General features: G+C 45.6%; 1 protein-coding gene across 1 annotated transcript in view; it reads right to left on the bottom strand.

The window, feature by feature from the left end:
- The window catches only part of NSG2 (neuronal vesicle trafficking associated 2), a 63,474-nt gene that overhangs the window by 32,919 nt on the left and 13,628 nt on the right, over positions 1 to 16,927 (bottom strand). The window contains exon 3 of the mRNA NM_015980.5: positions 11,946 to 12,029. Within this exon, the coding sequence (NP_057064.1) occupies positions 11,946 to 12,029 (84 nt within the window). The remainder of the gene's footprint in view (positions 1 to 11,945; positions 12,030 to 16,927) is intronic.

Raw genomic sequence — 16,927 nt, 5'->3', positions numbered from 1 at the left:
TAAGGGGAATGTGTCCCGTCTATTTTAGGGGCTACTGCATGCCGGGCGCTGTGCTAGCCACATCCCAAGCACCATCATCACAATGGCTCTCTCAATTGGTGGGCACTGGCATCCCCATTTTACAGAAGTAAAAACTGAGGCTGATGGAGGTGAGGTGACTTGCCCAAGGTCACACAGTCCAGTGAGTTATAGAACTAACATTCAAACCAGGTCTGTCAGATTGCAAAGTAAAACTGGGTTCAGGTTGTCAAGAATTAGAATGAATGAATGATGATCACCCAAGTGAGGGTTGAAACCCCTTAAAGAACCAAATTCCCTCCCAGTTACTTGGATCACAGAGCTGAGCGCTCAGCATCCCCAGGAGGAAGCGAGGCCTACATGGCAGTTGCTATAACAACTCATTTTCTTATAATTATAGAACCTACTGGCAACATGAAAAGCTGCACATACAGTCATCTTATTAGGGCCTTCTTCTGACAGTTCCAGGAGCTTAAACATCATCAATTTTTTAAGAATCACATTTAATATAATCATGCATTGCAGGAGCAAAGGCCCAGAGAGCGAGGAAGCCAGGAGATGAGCTCTCCCACCTTGTGACTGGGATTGCGGAGCAGGTGGCATGACAGACCCTGGGGAAAACGGCATCTCTTTCTTGGGAAATTGTCGCTTCTCTTTTTCCCTTTTGGATCAACACATTTCAGGACTCGGCCAAACAGTGTATTTAAAGAGAAAAAAGAGGACGAGAGAGCCAACGCAAAATTAACCTAACACTCGGCAAATAACAGGGATCTGCAGCAAAGTTTTAGTATTCTTGCAACCACATTTCAGTTTAGCTTAATTTAGCCAATTCCCCAAATGTGCAGGGTTTCCCAATTTGGAAGATGGTATAGATAAAAGAATATACGTGTATGCATGCACACACATACACATAACCACACATCGGTGCACATACCGCTCTGGGTCAGAAAACCCCGACTCTGCCCCCTTATTGGCTGTATGACCCCGAGTGGCTTAATTAATCATGCTGATCCCCAGCTTTCTCATCCGTATATTAAAAATATGCCTATTTCATGAGTTACAATAAAGATAAAATGGGAAATGACTCACAGGCTATCTGGCACATAATAGAAGTTTAATAAAATAAAGCTGTTATTATTTATTACTGCAAATAATTATTTTTAAAATGTTGTTTTACTTTCTGTATCTTCCTTTTATTACTCCAACCAAGGATTTGAGAAACCTTTAGGAAGCCCTCTTTTCAGTGGCACCTTCAGCAATCCAGCTAGGTAGCAGAACTCTAGGAAAGCCGATGTGCCATCTCAGCAGTGAGGTGCAGGAAGAGAAGGAAAAGTTGTAATGCTAGGAACCTAGGACTTCCAGGTATGAAAGTGGGGAGTCAAGGACCAGTTCCAGGGGAGATGAGCTCTAAGCGGGGTCTCCAAGCAGAAAACATGGATGGCAATGGAGGCAGAGGACACTGCATGGGCAATGCTGGAAGTATGAAAAGGCATGGCAGTTTTGCAGTGCTATGAGAGCCCCAGAACACTGGGAGTGTAGGAAGGCAGTGGCAGAGGGACAGGAATCAGCAGCAAGGCCCACCTTTGGAAGAGCCTGCAGTGCCGTACTAAGGACATCACACTGCAGCCCCTAGGAAGCAGGGAGATATCGCAGATTTCTCAAGCAGGAGAGTGATCTGATGACGTAATCTGGTTTTTCTCATATTGCGTGAAGGGGTGGGACAGAGATGGAGAGCTGGGAGCTGGCACAGTGGAAAGGGTAAGCCAAGAGGAGCAACTGAGCTACGGCAGCGTCACCTGGGATGGAGGCCCACAGGTACCAGGCGTAGCTTCCCACTGGAGACCCAAGCTAGGTGGCAGCATCCATCTAGCAAGAGACCTCCCTCCCCAGAAATAAAACTACCATGCAGCTACAAGAGGAAGCTCACGTTTATCGAGCCACAGTGGAACAACTGTGTTAGCTTACATTGCCTCACTTAGGCCTCACACTAGGTCTATGATGGAGCCTTCGCCACCCATTTTGCAGATTGGGAAACGCAGGTTCAGAGAGCTGAAATGACATGTTCCAGTTCACAAACCCATGGGATCAAACCCCTAACCCATGTGTTTCTTCCATATCGCCTTTCCACAGTGGTGTGCTGAGAGACCAGCTCTTGGGGGGAGAGGAGGAGATTTGTAGCCTTTGCTGATTTCCATGGTGTAAACACTCCCACCATGATTGATTTCAAGCTTCCAACAGTTTCACAACTGGCTTGCAAACTTGGAAGAATCAGCTCTCAGGAGTGGGTGTGAGTTACTCCAGCCCACCCCTGCAGGAGTCCCATAGGAAACAAGAGTGCTCACTATACCCTAGAAGTCTTCTTCTACACTATGTTTATTAACAAGTGACTTGCTTTATTGCAGCATTTACTTAACAATGTTTGTTTGGATCAATGAGAATGTAAAGCCGGTAATAAAAGCCCATCCTTTTGCGATGGGGTGGTCATTGAATCACCCCGTCTCTCATCAAACCCTATGCACATTCCTCCTAAGGCAGCACAATGTGTGTTTTCTGTCTCAGAGGAATGTTTCGTTAAAAAATTAAGCCACGATTGCTTTGCAACTATCAATTAATAACAGCATACATTTTTGAAGGTCATTCTAATAGTACACTCACAAAGCCAGGCGAAAGCACCTGGACAAAAACATAGGCCAGCATCTTCAGTCTGATTTTCAATAAAACCCTGGCCAGAAGTGAAATAATAAACATGAAACACTCTGGCAGCCTTTCTCCACCAAGTCCTCATGTGCAAATTCTTTCCATGCCAAATAATGACTCTGCTCCTAACCCAGCAGGCAGTGTTTTTAATAACTTGCCTAAAAATGTTCCTCAAAATTTAAAAGAAAGAGAGAGCAATAAAAACCAAGACAACAGATAATAAAGTAAAATCGCTTATCTCCATTTGCTGCTGTCAGCAAATATTAGAATCCCATGGAATGAAGGCCCTGGAGTTTTGATGAAAAATTGGTAGAAGCAAATGGTGAAGCTAGAAATGTTGTCTAACTTCTTAAGAATGTGGCATCAGGAAGAGAGTTATGAGGATGTGTTATCAGCAAGAGTTCAGAAGAAAAGATAGGGCCCTGATTTTATATAAAGATACTGGAAATGAGGCAACCAGAGCTGTTGATGTGATCGATGTGGAGTTTCTTGGTCAGCCATACGGATTTTTTTTGTTTGCTCATTCACCTCCTTATGCATTCATTCATTCATTCATTCATTTGAGACAGGATCTCACTCTGTTACCCAGGTTGGAGTGCAGTGGCACAATCCGGCTCACTGCAGCCTCAACCTCCCAGGCTCAGATGATCCTCCTGCCTCAGCCTCCTGAGCAGCTGGGACCACAGGCATGCATAACCACATCCAGTTAATTTTTTGCATTTTTTGTAGAGATGGGGTTTTGCCATGTTGCCCAGGCTGGTCTCAAACTCCTGGGTTCAAGCAATCCTCCCACCTTGGCCTTCCAAAGTGCTAGGATTACAGGTGTGAGCCACCACACCCAGCCTTATTCATTTATTAAGGGCATTTTTTACTGCTTCATCCGGCCAGGTGCTGGCTAGCTTCTTAGGGTACAGAGAAGGGTACAAGAGCTCCTGGTCCAGTCAGCAGGAGACCTAGTAGGTAACTCACTGATGCCAACTCTGTTTAATTGGTACTAGAATGGAGGGTCCTATAGGACATGCAGGAACCCAAAGGAGAAAGGACAGGCTTTGCATGTCAGTGCAAGCAACACTGCACAGGCCCAGGCCATGTGCATTTGGTGTTGAGGGATGAATAGGGAGATGGCCCCATGGCAGGCAGGAAAGACAATCCAGCTAGGAAGGATGACACAGACAAAGGCAGGGAGACATCCAATGGACAGGATCATGAGGGAAGGGCCACTGCTTCTGGGAGGTGGATGCACCTATGGGAGAGGCAGGTAAGCAATGGAGGCACAGAAATGCCACTGTGGGGCATGTGCTCTAGAAGGGGAGGAGAAAGGACTGGGGCTGCTGAGGAAAGGGGCCAGGGATCAGGGAGAGGGCTGGGACAGGTGGTGATGTGGGTTGAACCAGAGTGTTGGAGTGAGAACAGAGAAGAAAGGACAGTCACTAGAGACTTCCAGAGGGAGAGGGGCCTGGCTCTATGGCTGCTAGGTGCAGCGGCCAGCACTGAGGAGGCTGGTTTCTGTGTTTCTCCCTGCTTCTTCTCCTGTTAGTGTTGGAGGGAACGTGAGCAGGGTTGAGGCTTGAGACAGGGAGCCAAGGCCCCCATTTCTTGGCCCTAGATTATAAAAGGAAAGGAGAAGGAGCCACTGGCAGGTAAGTGAGCTCAGCAGCATCCTTAGGAGCCATTCCTGTGTAGCCGGGGATCCCCTTCCATTTGAGCAACCTTCCCTGACCCTGTCTACCCGGGCAGGTGGCCCAGCTGCACAGCCTCCAGGGTGTGGACCTCAGATGGCTCGCTCTGCCTCTCTGAGCCTGTGTTCCTCATATGCAAGTGGGGTAACAATCCCGCCAGCCTGACGTGCTGGGACCATTCAGCGGGGTAGTGCACATAAAGTGCTAGTCACAGGCAGGAGCCCAAAGAGTGGAATGGATCGGTGAGCGGATGAAACAGCAAAAATCCACACCTTCTAATGTTAGCCTGAAACTGCAACTGGGGTTTTATTTTTGTTTTACTTGTTGCTGTTTGTTTAATAATAGCCCACTGACACTGGTTCTTCTGTTGTTGCTGTTGTTGTTACTGAGTCTTGCTCTGTCGTCAGGCTGGAGTGCAGTGGTGCGATCTCAGCTCACTGCAAGCCGCACCTCTCGGGTTCAAGCAATTCCCCTGCCTCAGCCTCCCAAGTAGCTGGGACCTATAGGTGCGTGCCACCACACCAGGCTAATTTTTGTATTTTAGTAGAGACGGTGTTTCACCATGTTGGCCAGGATGGTCTCCGTCTCCTGACCTCGTGATCCACCCACCTTGGCTTCCCGAAGTGCTAGGATAACAGGCATGAGCCACTGGTTGTTTAAAAAGGACTGACCCTCTCATTTCCAGTTCTTGGTCCCACCTCATTTTAATGAGAGAATGGTGAGCTCTGGTCCCTTTGGGCTAAGGTGTCCCTCCCACTGCAGCTTCTCCCCACTGGATGTGCTCTAGGTCTGGACTGCAGGCATTCCCAGGATCCTTCCCAAGTGCCTACACACCCTCCAGTCTGAGCTGGCCCTGGCCAGAGCCTAATGAGGCAGATTCTCTGAATGCTGGATCAGGGTGTGGGGTCAGGGATGCTCCTGAGACCATCCCAAGAGACAGGGCCCACAATGCAACACACCCAAAGCCTGCTCCATGCCAGGCCAGTGCTGGGAACTGGGAACACAGAGATGCACCAGACACCTCCCTGCCCTCCAGGGATCAGAAGCTAGAGGGGGCTGCAGGTGCGGGATAGGCCAGGCAGAGGACAGTGGGAAAGGAGGCCTCATGACCCTACAGAGCCCAGAGGAGGCCCCAAATCCAGCTAGAGGATCAGGAAGGGGTCCCAGAGTTGCTGACTCCAGGAAGAGCACAGCTGAGAAGCTGCACAGAATGTTTCTCATCTGATCCACACATTTGTTAGCTCCTTCAGGGCAGAGGTTTTGTTTTATCCATTTTTGTATCTCCCAGCAACAGGCATTGAGCCCAGACCAGAACCAATATTAATAACGACAAAGAAGAAAAGGGAGGGAGACCAAGAAGGAAGGAAAGAAGGCAGGAAGGTCACAGCTTGGCCAGGACAATGGCAGGGTGACATCAAGTTGTGGCAGAGAGAATGGGATATGGAGCCATGAAGCTGGGTTCTTGCTTTGTTCTGACATTTCCTGGCTAAGTGACCTTGGGAAAATCACCTCACTTCTCTAAGCATTAGTTTCCTCACCTGTAAAATGGGGATAATAAAAGTACCTACTTCCCAAGATTGTTGTTAGGCTGAAAAGTAGATGTAAAAGCATATTTAAGACATTATTATTATTTGTCTTATAACTGAAGTACTAAAAAATAGCCCACGAAAAAAATGACCAGACGGGGCATGATGGCTCACACCTGTAATCCCAGAACTTTGGGAGGCCGAGGCAGGAGGATCGCTTGAAGCCAGGAGTTCAAACCAGCCTGAGCAACAAAGTGAGACCCTATCTCTACCAAAAAAAGAAAAACCTTTTTAAATTAGCCGAGCATGGTGGCTTGTGCCTGTAGTCCCAGCTCTTTGGGAGGCTAAGGTGGGAGGATCACTTGAGCCTGGGAGGTCAAGGCTGCAGTGAGCCATGATCATGCTAGTGCACTCCAGTCTTGGTGACAAAGTAAGACCTTGTCTCAAAAAAAAAAAAAAAAAAAAATGGCCTACCTTTACCAACAAGCAAACACGTGCCTCCAGGAATCACTGTGGGAAGCCAGAGACCACCCATGAATCCTGACAATGAACTGGCTACCCCTTGAAATGTTCCTCCAGGTTCTCCCAGTCACATTCCCAGGGAGAAAAGCCTGCAAAGAGAGGCCCAGAGCCCAACCAACAAACAAAATCCAGCTAATTAGACAGGAAGCTAAGAACACAAGAGGAAGAAAAAGGATATAAATAGGAAAGAAAGAAAATGATAATTTATTAAGCCCCTAGCGTGCACCAAAGACAGACTATTCATTATTATTGTCTGGTTTTATTAATGAAAAGTTGGGAACTTGGGAGTGGAGAGATTTTTCCCAAGGTCATGAAGCTAAGATATGGCAAAGCCAAGATCTAAGATGCCTAGGCGAGCCTAGTCTCAAGCCCAGGTATCTCCCTGGAGGACAGCTGTGCCTCTCCACAGCTTAGCACCAATGACTTCCAAATCCAAACTCAGCTCCAACTCACAGACGAACCTGGAAACAACCAGGCCTGGCAGCATAGCTAGGTGCATAAGCACCTTCCAGAGCCTCAGTACCCTCCTCAGCACCAGCATCTTCCATAGCACCAACAACCTTCAGAGCACCAGTAACCTTTAGAGCACCAGCACTCTCCTTGGCACCAGCTGCCTCCATAGCACCAGGATCACCATGATACAAGCACCCTCCACAGCAGCAAGATCACCATCACACCAGCACCCTCCACAGCACCAGGGTCACCGTGACATCAGCACCCTCCACAGCACCAGGATCACCTCCATAGCACCAACACCTTCCACAGCACCAGCACCCTCCATAGCACCAGGATCACCATGACACCAGCACTCTCCATAGCACCAGGATCACCAAGACACCAGCACCCTCCATAGTACTAGCACCTTCCACAGCACCAGGATCCCCATGACACCAGCACCTTCCACAGCACCAGCACCTTCCATAGCACCAGGATTCCCACGACACCAGCACCTTCCACAGCACCAGCACCTTCCATAGCACCAGGATTCCCATGACACCAGCACCTTCCACAGCACCAGCACCTTCCATAGCACCAGGATTCCCATGACACCAGCACCTTCCACAGCACCAGCACCTTCCATAGCACCAGGATTCCCATGACACCAGCACCTTCCACAGCACCAGCACCTTCCATAGCACCAGAATCACTATGACACCAGCACCCTCCATAGCACCAGCACCTTCCATAGCACCAGGATCACCGTGACACCAGAACCCTATATAGCACCAGCACCTTCCACAGCACCAGGATCACCAGGAAACCAGCACCCCCAACATCACCAGCACCTTCCACAGCACCAGGATCCCATGACGCAAACACCCACCACAGCACCAGCACCATCCATAGCAAAATCAGTTTTAGAGAACCCCTTGCTCTCAGATTAAGAAAGGAGGGTTTTTTTCTCTGCATTTTCCCATTTTCTCACATAACCCTGATGAAAATATTTCAAGTCTGTGGCCCTTTACAATGACTGCAGGGCCTCCTTAGTTTCAGAAATGACAAAAATTCCAGGCAATTATTTCAGCTCATCTTTCTCTATTCATCTCTCCCCACCCTGCTCCCTTCTTTTCTCTCTTACAGAATAATTGCCATGAACTGCTTTCTCCAGGTTAATTTTGAAATTCAAATCACAAGCTGTCCCAGATCCATGAAGGGATTGGAATGAGAAGGGGTGCACCTTTGCAGTTTCCAAGGTTCCCTCAGCCCCGGGCAATATATCTGCAGGGTGACCCAGTGACTGTGTAACAGCACCAAGCTCTCTAACTGTAAATTCCCTGACTCCAGCCCTAGTTCTCCAGTGGAAATCTCCATCCTGAGCTCCAAACCTATTAGTTCCAAGGGTGGCCAGACCACCTGTCTTCCCCCTCCCCACCCATGGTCTCCAGGCACCTCACACTCAGAGCATCCCCCCAGCTCCCTACCTCAGTGGCAGGTAGACAAGCCAAACACCAAAGAGTCCCCCAATGCCCTTCCTCCAACCAGGAGCAAGTCCTGTAAATTCCACCTCCATAACAGCCCCTCCCTGGATCATGAGCCCCAGCCAGCTTACTCAGCTCAGACCCTCAGACTCTTCTTAATTACCTCCACGCCTCCTCCCTAGCCTCCCTGCATCCACCTCTGCACCTGCAGGTGCATCCTTCATGGGGCCCAGAAGGAGCTCTCTTTAAGAAAGTGAAAAACCAGGCTAATTAATTCTTGCAGCTTTACATAAGCATAAGAGAATCTGCTCCATTCCTCCCATTTTGCTTCAAGTGCAGGTCCCCCTCTGCCCATGCCTGACAGGGCTGACAGAGGGCTGCCCCTGAACCACAAAGCCCTTCTTTCCTGACCCCCAAGACTAATTGAGTCAAACTGCGCGGGGGTGGAGAACTTCTACAGGCCCTGGTCCCTGACCCAGCACCCTTTTTCTCTTAGCTGACTCATTTCTGTTCTACCCAGCAGTTACCTACTGCAGGCATCATGGCTGAGCAGAGAGGCCGCCAGGCCCTGGCTCTGCCACTTGCTGGTGGGTCAGCATGTTATGTCACCTCTCGGAGCCATAGGGGATTATATCAATCTCTCACATAGATATGAAAAAGTAGCCACATCACCAAAAGTTGTCAAAGAAGACAAAAAAAATATATAGCCCTATATCACTGCTAATAACACAGCCATAGACAGCATTTTAATATTAATACATTTATTTGTAATTTTTCATAGCTCCAATCCTAGAAAGCATACAATCTTAATCTCTATTTTACTCACTCAACATTCTCTCTTTAAGTATTTGCCCAAATTATTGCACTTCACAGCCATCATTTCTTTTTTTTTTTTTTTTTTTTTTTTTTTGAGACAGAGTCTCGCTCTGTCGCCCAGGCTGGAGTGCAGTGGCGGGATCTCGGCTCACTGCAAGCTCCGCCTCCCGGGTTCACGCCATTCTCCTGCCTCAGCCTCCCAAGTAGCTGGGACTACAGGCGCCCGCCACTACGCCCGGCTAATTTTTTGTATTTTTAGTAGAGACGGGGTTTCACCGTTTTAGCCGGGACGGTCTCGATCTCCTGACCTCGTGACACAGCCATCATTTCAAATGACTGCTGGATAAAGGATAATTTCATTAAAAATGCCTAACACTCTGTTTTTTTTTAAAAAAGCACACTTAAAAATAATTCTCATTTTTGTCTGATTATTGAAATAATTAAGTGCACATTGCATAAAATTTGGAAAGCATAGAGAAGTAAAAATTAGATGAAAGTATCTCATATACATATAATTTAGAGAAAACTACTCTCTGAGGGAAAAAAGGTAATTCTTAAGAAACTGTAAAGTAGTTCATCATATGGATGTGTTCTCATTTATGAAATCACAAGAAAGTTGTTGAAAGTCTAGTTTCCAATACTTTAATTTTATAGATAGTACTGCAGCAAACATTCTTACATGTGAACCTGGGAATATTTCTTGTGATCTCTTGCCAGGAAGGCAGGTAAATTTGACCCCGTGGCCTGGTGCACCAAGATACCCCAGGCCTCTCCTGCAAGCTCTGTGCTCATTCATGCAGGTACCTGCTTATTCCTGCAAGTACTTGTACGCAGCTGGGTCTTGGTCCACTTTCACTGGGCCTGTGCTGTGTGGCAGACACTGAAAGTACAATAAAAAAGTAAGACCAGCCACTGCTCTCCAAGAGGAGGGTGGCATCTAGGAAGTTCCACATTCCAGGGAATGCACACAGAGGGACCACACTCCTCCCCTGGGCCACATACGCAGCTGCTTCAGTATTGATTTAGTGGGGAGAAAAATAGTCAAAGACAAACAAACCCACATGTTTCTCCCCGCATACGCTTCAATTCCCAGATAACCAACCACGAGTCATGTTCACTTTCAAAGCTCCCAGTCACAGTTGACATAAAAAGGCTACTATTGCGCACTTATACAGATCCAAGTGCTTTGCAGGTACTTTGTACTTCATCGTCATAGCAACCCTACTATTATCTCCATTTGATAAGTGAGGCTTAGTGACTCGCTTGTGGCCACACAGCTAGGATAAGGTGGAACCAAGGCTCAAGCCCAGCCAGGCTGCTGCATCATCCATCCACAGGACCACTTGTTCTACTGCCTCCAGGGCTGATTGTTTGCCTCCTAAATATTTTAGATCTGCCTGCATCTCTCCACCCACTGGCCACCCTTATCTGATCTGCCACCGTTTTTTGTGTGTTTTTTCACTTGAATGACTGCAGTAGCCTAATAGTGCCCCTCCATCCCCTTTCATCCACCACACTCCATTAGCCATGTAAAAGCCAGCATACTTTTTCTAAAACCCAAATGTAATCATGTCCCTTCTCTTCCTGAAGTCCTTCAAAGGCTTCCTGTTGCTTTTAGTATTAAACCCTAAATGCCTTCATACAGCCTTCAATGCTTGGAACTGTCTGCCCTCCGCCCACTTCTGCCTCATCTGTGTCTGCTCCCTGCACCCTCCTAGAGCCCGGCCTCACTGTCCTTATTTCTTTTTTTTTTTTTGAGACGGAGTCTTGCTCTGTCATCCAGGCTGGAGTGCAGTGGTGCGATCTTGGCTCACTGCAAGCTCTGCCTCCCTGGTTCACTCCATTCTCCTGCCTCAGCCTCCCGAGTAGATGGGATTACAGGCGCCCGCCACTACGCCCAGCTAATTTTTTGTATTTTTAGTAGAGGTGGGGTTTCACCGTGTTAGCCAGGATGGTCTCGATCTCCTGACCTCGTGATCCATCCGACTCAGCCTCCCAAAGTGCTGGGATTACAGGCGTGAGCCGCCGTGCCCGGCCCTCACTGTCCTTATTTCTATTCAGGGTTTCTATTTCTGTTTCTATTCAGGGTTGGGGCTAGCCTCCTTCCTGCCTCAGGGCCTTTGCACAAGCTGCACTCTCCTCAGCTGCAAGCACCTTGTACCTGCTTCATACCCACTTCCCCACCCACCTCAGCTCCTAAGTGACTTCCTCGGGGCATTCCCTGGGATTCCTCTTTCACCCTCACAGAGAATGCTTTGTGGATCCTTGATGCAATTCATCACAGCTAGCAACATATTCTCCAGTGCTCCTCGCGGCCCCTCCACCAAGAAATAGGAAGCCAACCATTAGGGTTTCACCACCAAGAAGCCAGCTTTTCTTCCCCCCACCTTTGTTTTTCTCATATTTGTTGCAACGAAGGACTAAAATGTGAGTCACTTACTGCATTTCCATCACATTTCCTGGAGATTGTGATGAAAAAGCAGGAAGAAGGGAACAGGAGAAAGGAGAAGGAATAGAAGAGGCATTTATCAATTATGAGATTTATCAGAACATTCCAGAGTACACGAGAATATGATAGACCTCAGAGGCAGAGTTCTTGTTATTTGATTAAACTCAGTGGCCAGACTGTATGGCTTCAAGAAATCCTCCAGAAATAGCCTGCATCATTTCCCCACCCACAGCAGTACTTGCTCCAAGCACGAGGTGTGCTGAGCTGGCTGGAGCCAGCCTCTCCTTTACTCTTTCTATTACACCATCAAGAAACTGACCGTAAATTCAGCGATTTTCGGCACCCGGAACTTCCCTTTGTTCTTCTGTTCCGGCTGATATTCCGTTCTTGTCTTCACAATCACCTGAAAGAGTCAACCAGTGTGTTAGCATGCATGGAGACTTGAAACATTTTCCTTTCTTTTTTTTCAGTAACCAGAATTTATTACACATGACATAAAGATCAAAAAAATAAAGAACCCCCCTTCAAACACACGTAAGAGAAAATTCAAGTTACTCATAATACTTCCCCATTCCAACAGAGACAACCCTAGGTAACAACTTTGATTATACCTTTTTAGATATTTATATAGACTTATATATGTACATATTGTTATATATTTACTATTTGTGAAAATATATATTTTATGAGATGAATTCATACTTTATAGTTTATAACCTGCTTTTATCACACAACACTATATTTTTCTCCAATTTTCCAATGTAAACAAATATATCATTGTATTTTGCCTTTTGGCATAGTATAACATTTCACTGCATGTGTGTACTGCAACTGATCTAATTAAACTTTAATTGTTACACGTTTAGGTTGCCTCCAGTTTTGGTTATATAAACAAGTTATGGGATTGTTTGTAACTCAAAGGATAAATGGAGGGGATGGAGGGGATAAATACCCCATTCTCCATGATGTGCTTCACATTGCATGCCTGTATCAAAATATCTCCTGTACCCCAAAAATATATATACCATGTACCCACAAAAATTAAATAAATAAATATGTAAATAAATAAAATAAAATAAAATAAAATAAAATAAAATAAAATAAAATAAAATAGAAAGTTATGATGAAGATTCTGTTTCTAAGCCTTTGCACACACACTTAATTCCAATTTGATTTGGGGACTTGTGAGAAGAAAAATAGAAAGTTCTGTTGAATCTGTTGTATCATCTTATTTTTCTAAAGTCTGAATATTTTTGCAGAGGTGGTTAACATCTTATCAAGATATGCTGTCAACCTGACAAGACATTTATGTAACTCCATCCCACTGTGCAGGCAAAGTGAAAGAAAAAGAAACCTGACAGATAATCAATAACTATTGCCAAGTGCTGCAGTGCCATGAGGAACACAGAAGCTGTCTAAGCCTCAGGGTCTCATCTGTAAAATAGAGACAAATAATTCTAATTCATATCCCTATTTTGTAAGGTTGCTTTGAGAGTTAAGTGAGATGATAATGAGCAATATTTTTGAACCACTTATTATATGCCAGAACTAGATCAAGCACTTCATATGCCTCACCTACCTATCACTACTATTTCCATTCTCCTAACAAGGAAACTCAAGCTCAGAGATGCTAAGTCACTTGTCCAGGGTCACACAGCTAAAATGAAGTAATCTTCTAACCATGATCACTCCTACTTCCCATTATGGCTCAAATTAACAGAATTTTCACTGAAAACGCCCACCAACCTTCCCTGGAGACAACAGTCAAGCGTATTAACTAGAGCAAGAATTCTTCTATGAAGAATGTCCTTTAACATCTGTGAGGCATGTCATGGACTCAATGCAGCTCAAAAAGGAAGGGATAGGGACGGCGCTACCATACACGGAACATCTACCAGGTGGTACCTAAACCCAACTAACCTATGGCTGGACTTATGGGGGTTAAGGAGGCCCTGGACCCCAGCCCATCAGCACCCCACCCTCTCTTACCTCTAGAACCCATTTCTGGATGGAAATTCTGCTGTTGTTTCCTGCCCTCTTTGCAATCTGTTCCTCCAAACAACAAAAAGAGAGCCCCTGGCTTCCTCAAACAGGGAAGCAACACAGCCAAACATGGATGAGAGCTTACAGGGGGTGGGGGCAGAAGGATGCTCTGTTATTTTTATTTTCTTCCTACCCACTAGGCCAAAGAATAGGAAAACAGAAGCTCTTGTACCACAGATAAGAAAAATAATTCTCATACTTTGTGCATTTACTATATAGCAGGCATTGAGCATTTGGCATGCCTTACCTCACTTAATTCTACACTATAAAGCAGATACCAATATTGTCAATATTGTAGGGGAGTGTACAAGTGTGGGCTGAGTTCAAATCCTGGCTCCAGAACTTACTAGCTGGTGACCTTGGGTGAGTTGATGATGCCTTCTGTGTCTTGATTTTCTCATCTATAAAATGGGGAAATCACCATGACCACCTCGTTGGATTGTTGGGAGGCATAAATGAGTTGATGCAAGTTAGACATTCAGAACATTAATCCAATAACATCTGGGTGCTATCACATTTTCTTCCATAGATACTGAGGCAGCTGTAGAGTGGAGCCTTGCACCTGTCAGGCTGCAGTGTCACCCTACCTAGCCTATCAAGAGCAACACAAGGACTTCTCAGGAACATGGGCATTCAAGAATGCCCCCAACTTCCCTGCCTAAAAAAAAAAAAAAAAAAAAAAGTTTGGGGGCTCGGCACAGTGGCTCCCGCCTGTAATCCCAGCCCTTTGGGAGGCTGAGGCGGGTGGATCATGGGGTCAAGAGATCAAGACCACCCTGGCCAACATGGTGAAACCCCATATTTACTAAAAATTAAAAAAATTAGCTGGGCATGGTGGCGCACACCTGTAATCCCAGCTACTCAGGAGGCTGAGGCAGGAGAATCACTTGAACCCGGGAGGTAGAGGTTGCAGTGAGCCAAGATTGTGCCACTGCACTCCAGCCTGGCGACAGAGCAACACTCTGTCTCAAAAAAAGAAAAAAAAGAGTTTTGGAAGATGAATAGAAGTTTCCTGGGTGGACAAAACAAGGGAAGACAGTCTCTGCAAAGTGTACCACAGAGCCAAAGAAACAAAAGTGTGAAATAGCATGTGATCTACAAGAACTTGCTTTGCTGGCATGTGAACTGCAATGCGAATACGAGAGTCGGAAGCTGATGTAAACAAAAGAGCAAATGGTAAAGCTCCTAGGCTAGTTCACAGCATTCTGGGATGGACCAAATGAAAGAACATACATGCAGGTGCTTTGTGAACTAAAAGGATATTCTACAAATTCCAGTTATTAGAAATATTTTGGACATCACTAGATCAACTGTCAGATTATGAAGTGGTACAGAAAATTTAGATGTCTGATTATTTCTCTTAATCCACGATTTTAGAAATATTCACAAACTTGGATTTACAATTTTAATTTTATCTCCCCATGCATGTGTGTATGTATATATGTGTGTGTGTGTGTAATATATACATGTAACATATCTATTAATATATATAATATATGTATTTCTTGGTCAGCATGAGCCACAAGCCTTGGGGTAATAATTGCTTTTTGGGGTAGGCAGCATTCTAATTTGGCTCCAAAGATTCCTGCCCCATGGTGTTCATGTGCTGTATAATTTCCTCCCTTTAGGATGTGGGCTGGACCTGTGGTTATGATGGGCTAGTCCCTCCCATGATTACATTGTGCTATGTAAAACTCCAGGGTAACAGACTGGAAAGAGATTCTCCACTGACCTTGAAGAATTAAACTGACATGCTGAAAGACAGCCATGCAGCTAGTACCTGAGGGCAACCCTCAACCAAGAGCCAACAAGAAAACCAGGACCTCAGTCCTCCAACCACAAGGAACTGAAATCTGTCGACAGCCTCAATGAGCTTGAAAGAAGATCTCAAGTGTCAGTGGGAATGCAGCCTGGCCAACACCTTGATTTCGGGCTCATGAGACCCTGGTGCAGAGAACCCAGCTAGCCTATGGCTGGACTTCTGACCTACGAAAACTGTGAGATAATAAGTTTATGGGTTTTAAGCCACTTAATTTTTGGTAATTTGTCACACAGCAATTGAAAACTAGTCCACCTTCCCACATTGCCAAGTCTATTTCCATCATCTCTTGGCTTGATCCCTTCCTTTCTAGATCCACAGTCCTCCAACTGTTCTTGAGAATCCTCACATCAAATGTTGGATGCAAACTCAGAGACTAGTAAATTTAAAAAAAAAAAATATTAAGAAGTACTTGCTTCTTAGTCTTTCTCGCTCCCTCTCTATTTTTATAAACATCCTTCCCAGAGCTTTTGAAAAATCTGAAAACCGTTTCCATTCTCTGTAAACTTAAAAGACCCCATATTCTAACCAACATGTTGAGACAGGAGACAGAACTGAAAAATATTACTGTCAGAACAAGACCATGAATAATCATTACAGGCAATATCATTTTTATTCTCATAATAATAAATATTTTGAGGTTGCTTCTCTAGCATCCATCTCCTTCTTCAACCAAAAGCGCTATGATATTCCTTTTGGGAACCCACCCCTGCCTCACTGTGTGGCAGCCATGTGGTTCAGTGGGATTGACCACTTCCTTAGTGACAGTGATGGTCCCTAGTGAAGTTGAGCCAATCAGGGCATACCATCCTATTGATCACACAATTTGATTGACTCAGACATGGGCATGTTACCCAATTTGGACCAATGAGCTATGAGGTAGTATTGACTAGTGTCTTGATGAAAGAAGCCTTGTAGGTCTTCATGAGTGATTCTTCCTCTGGATGGTATGCTGAAGACTTTAGTCCTGGAATTGTTGCCATCTTGATGGGAACCAGGAGAAGAACAAGGCAGCACACAAAGAAGGGCAGAGCCAAGAGGAACCCAGAGAAATGGAGCTGGGTCCAGATGACATCCTACCCCGGGATTGCACCTTGCCTGAAGTTAGACCTACTCTGGGATCCACAGTTATAGGGGCAAATACCTACTCTTTGAGCCTTAATATAATTTTGGCTGGGTTTTCTGTTACTTGAAACTAAAAGCTTTCTATCTGATACACATGTCTTCCAAGAAAACCCAAGAAAATGAACTGAAAAGTGATTAGAATTTAGTAAGGTAGCCAAATACTAAATAAGTAAACCAAAATCAATAGATTTCCTAGGTGTCAGCAAAAAGTCAGCTCAAAAACATAATGGGTCCACCAAAAGATACAAGAACATTCATAGCAGCTTTGTTCCTGATAGCCCCAAACTGGGAACATCTCAAATGTACACTAATAG

Source organism: Homo sapiens, chromosome 5, assembly GCF_000001405.40.
Source record: "Homo sapiens chromosome 5, GRCh38.p14 Primary Assembly".
Lineage (NCBI taxonomy): Eukaryota > Metazoa > Chordata > Mammalia > Primates > Hominidae > Homo > Homo sapiens.
The sequence above is the reverse complement of the archived record's forward strand: the minus strand, read 5'-3'. Positions and strand labels throughout refer to the sequence as shown.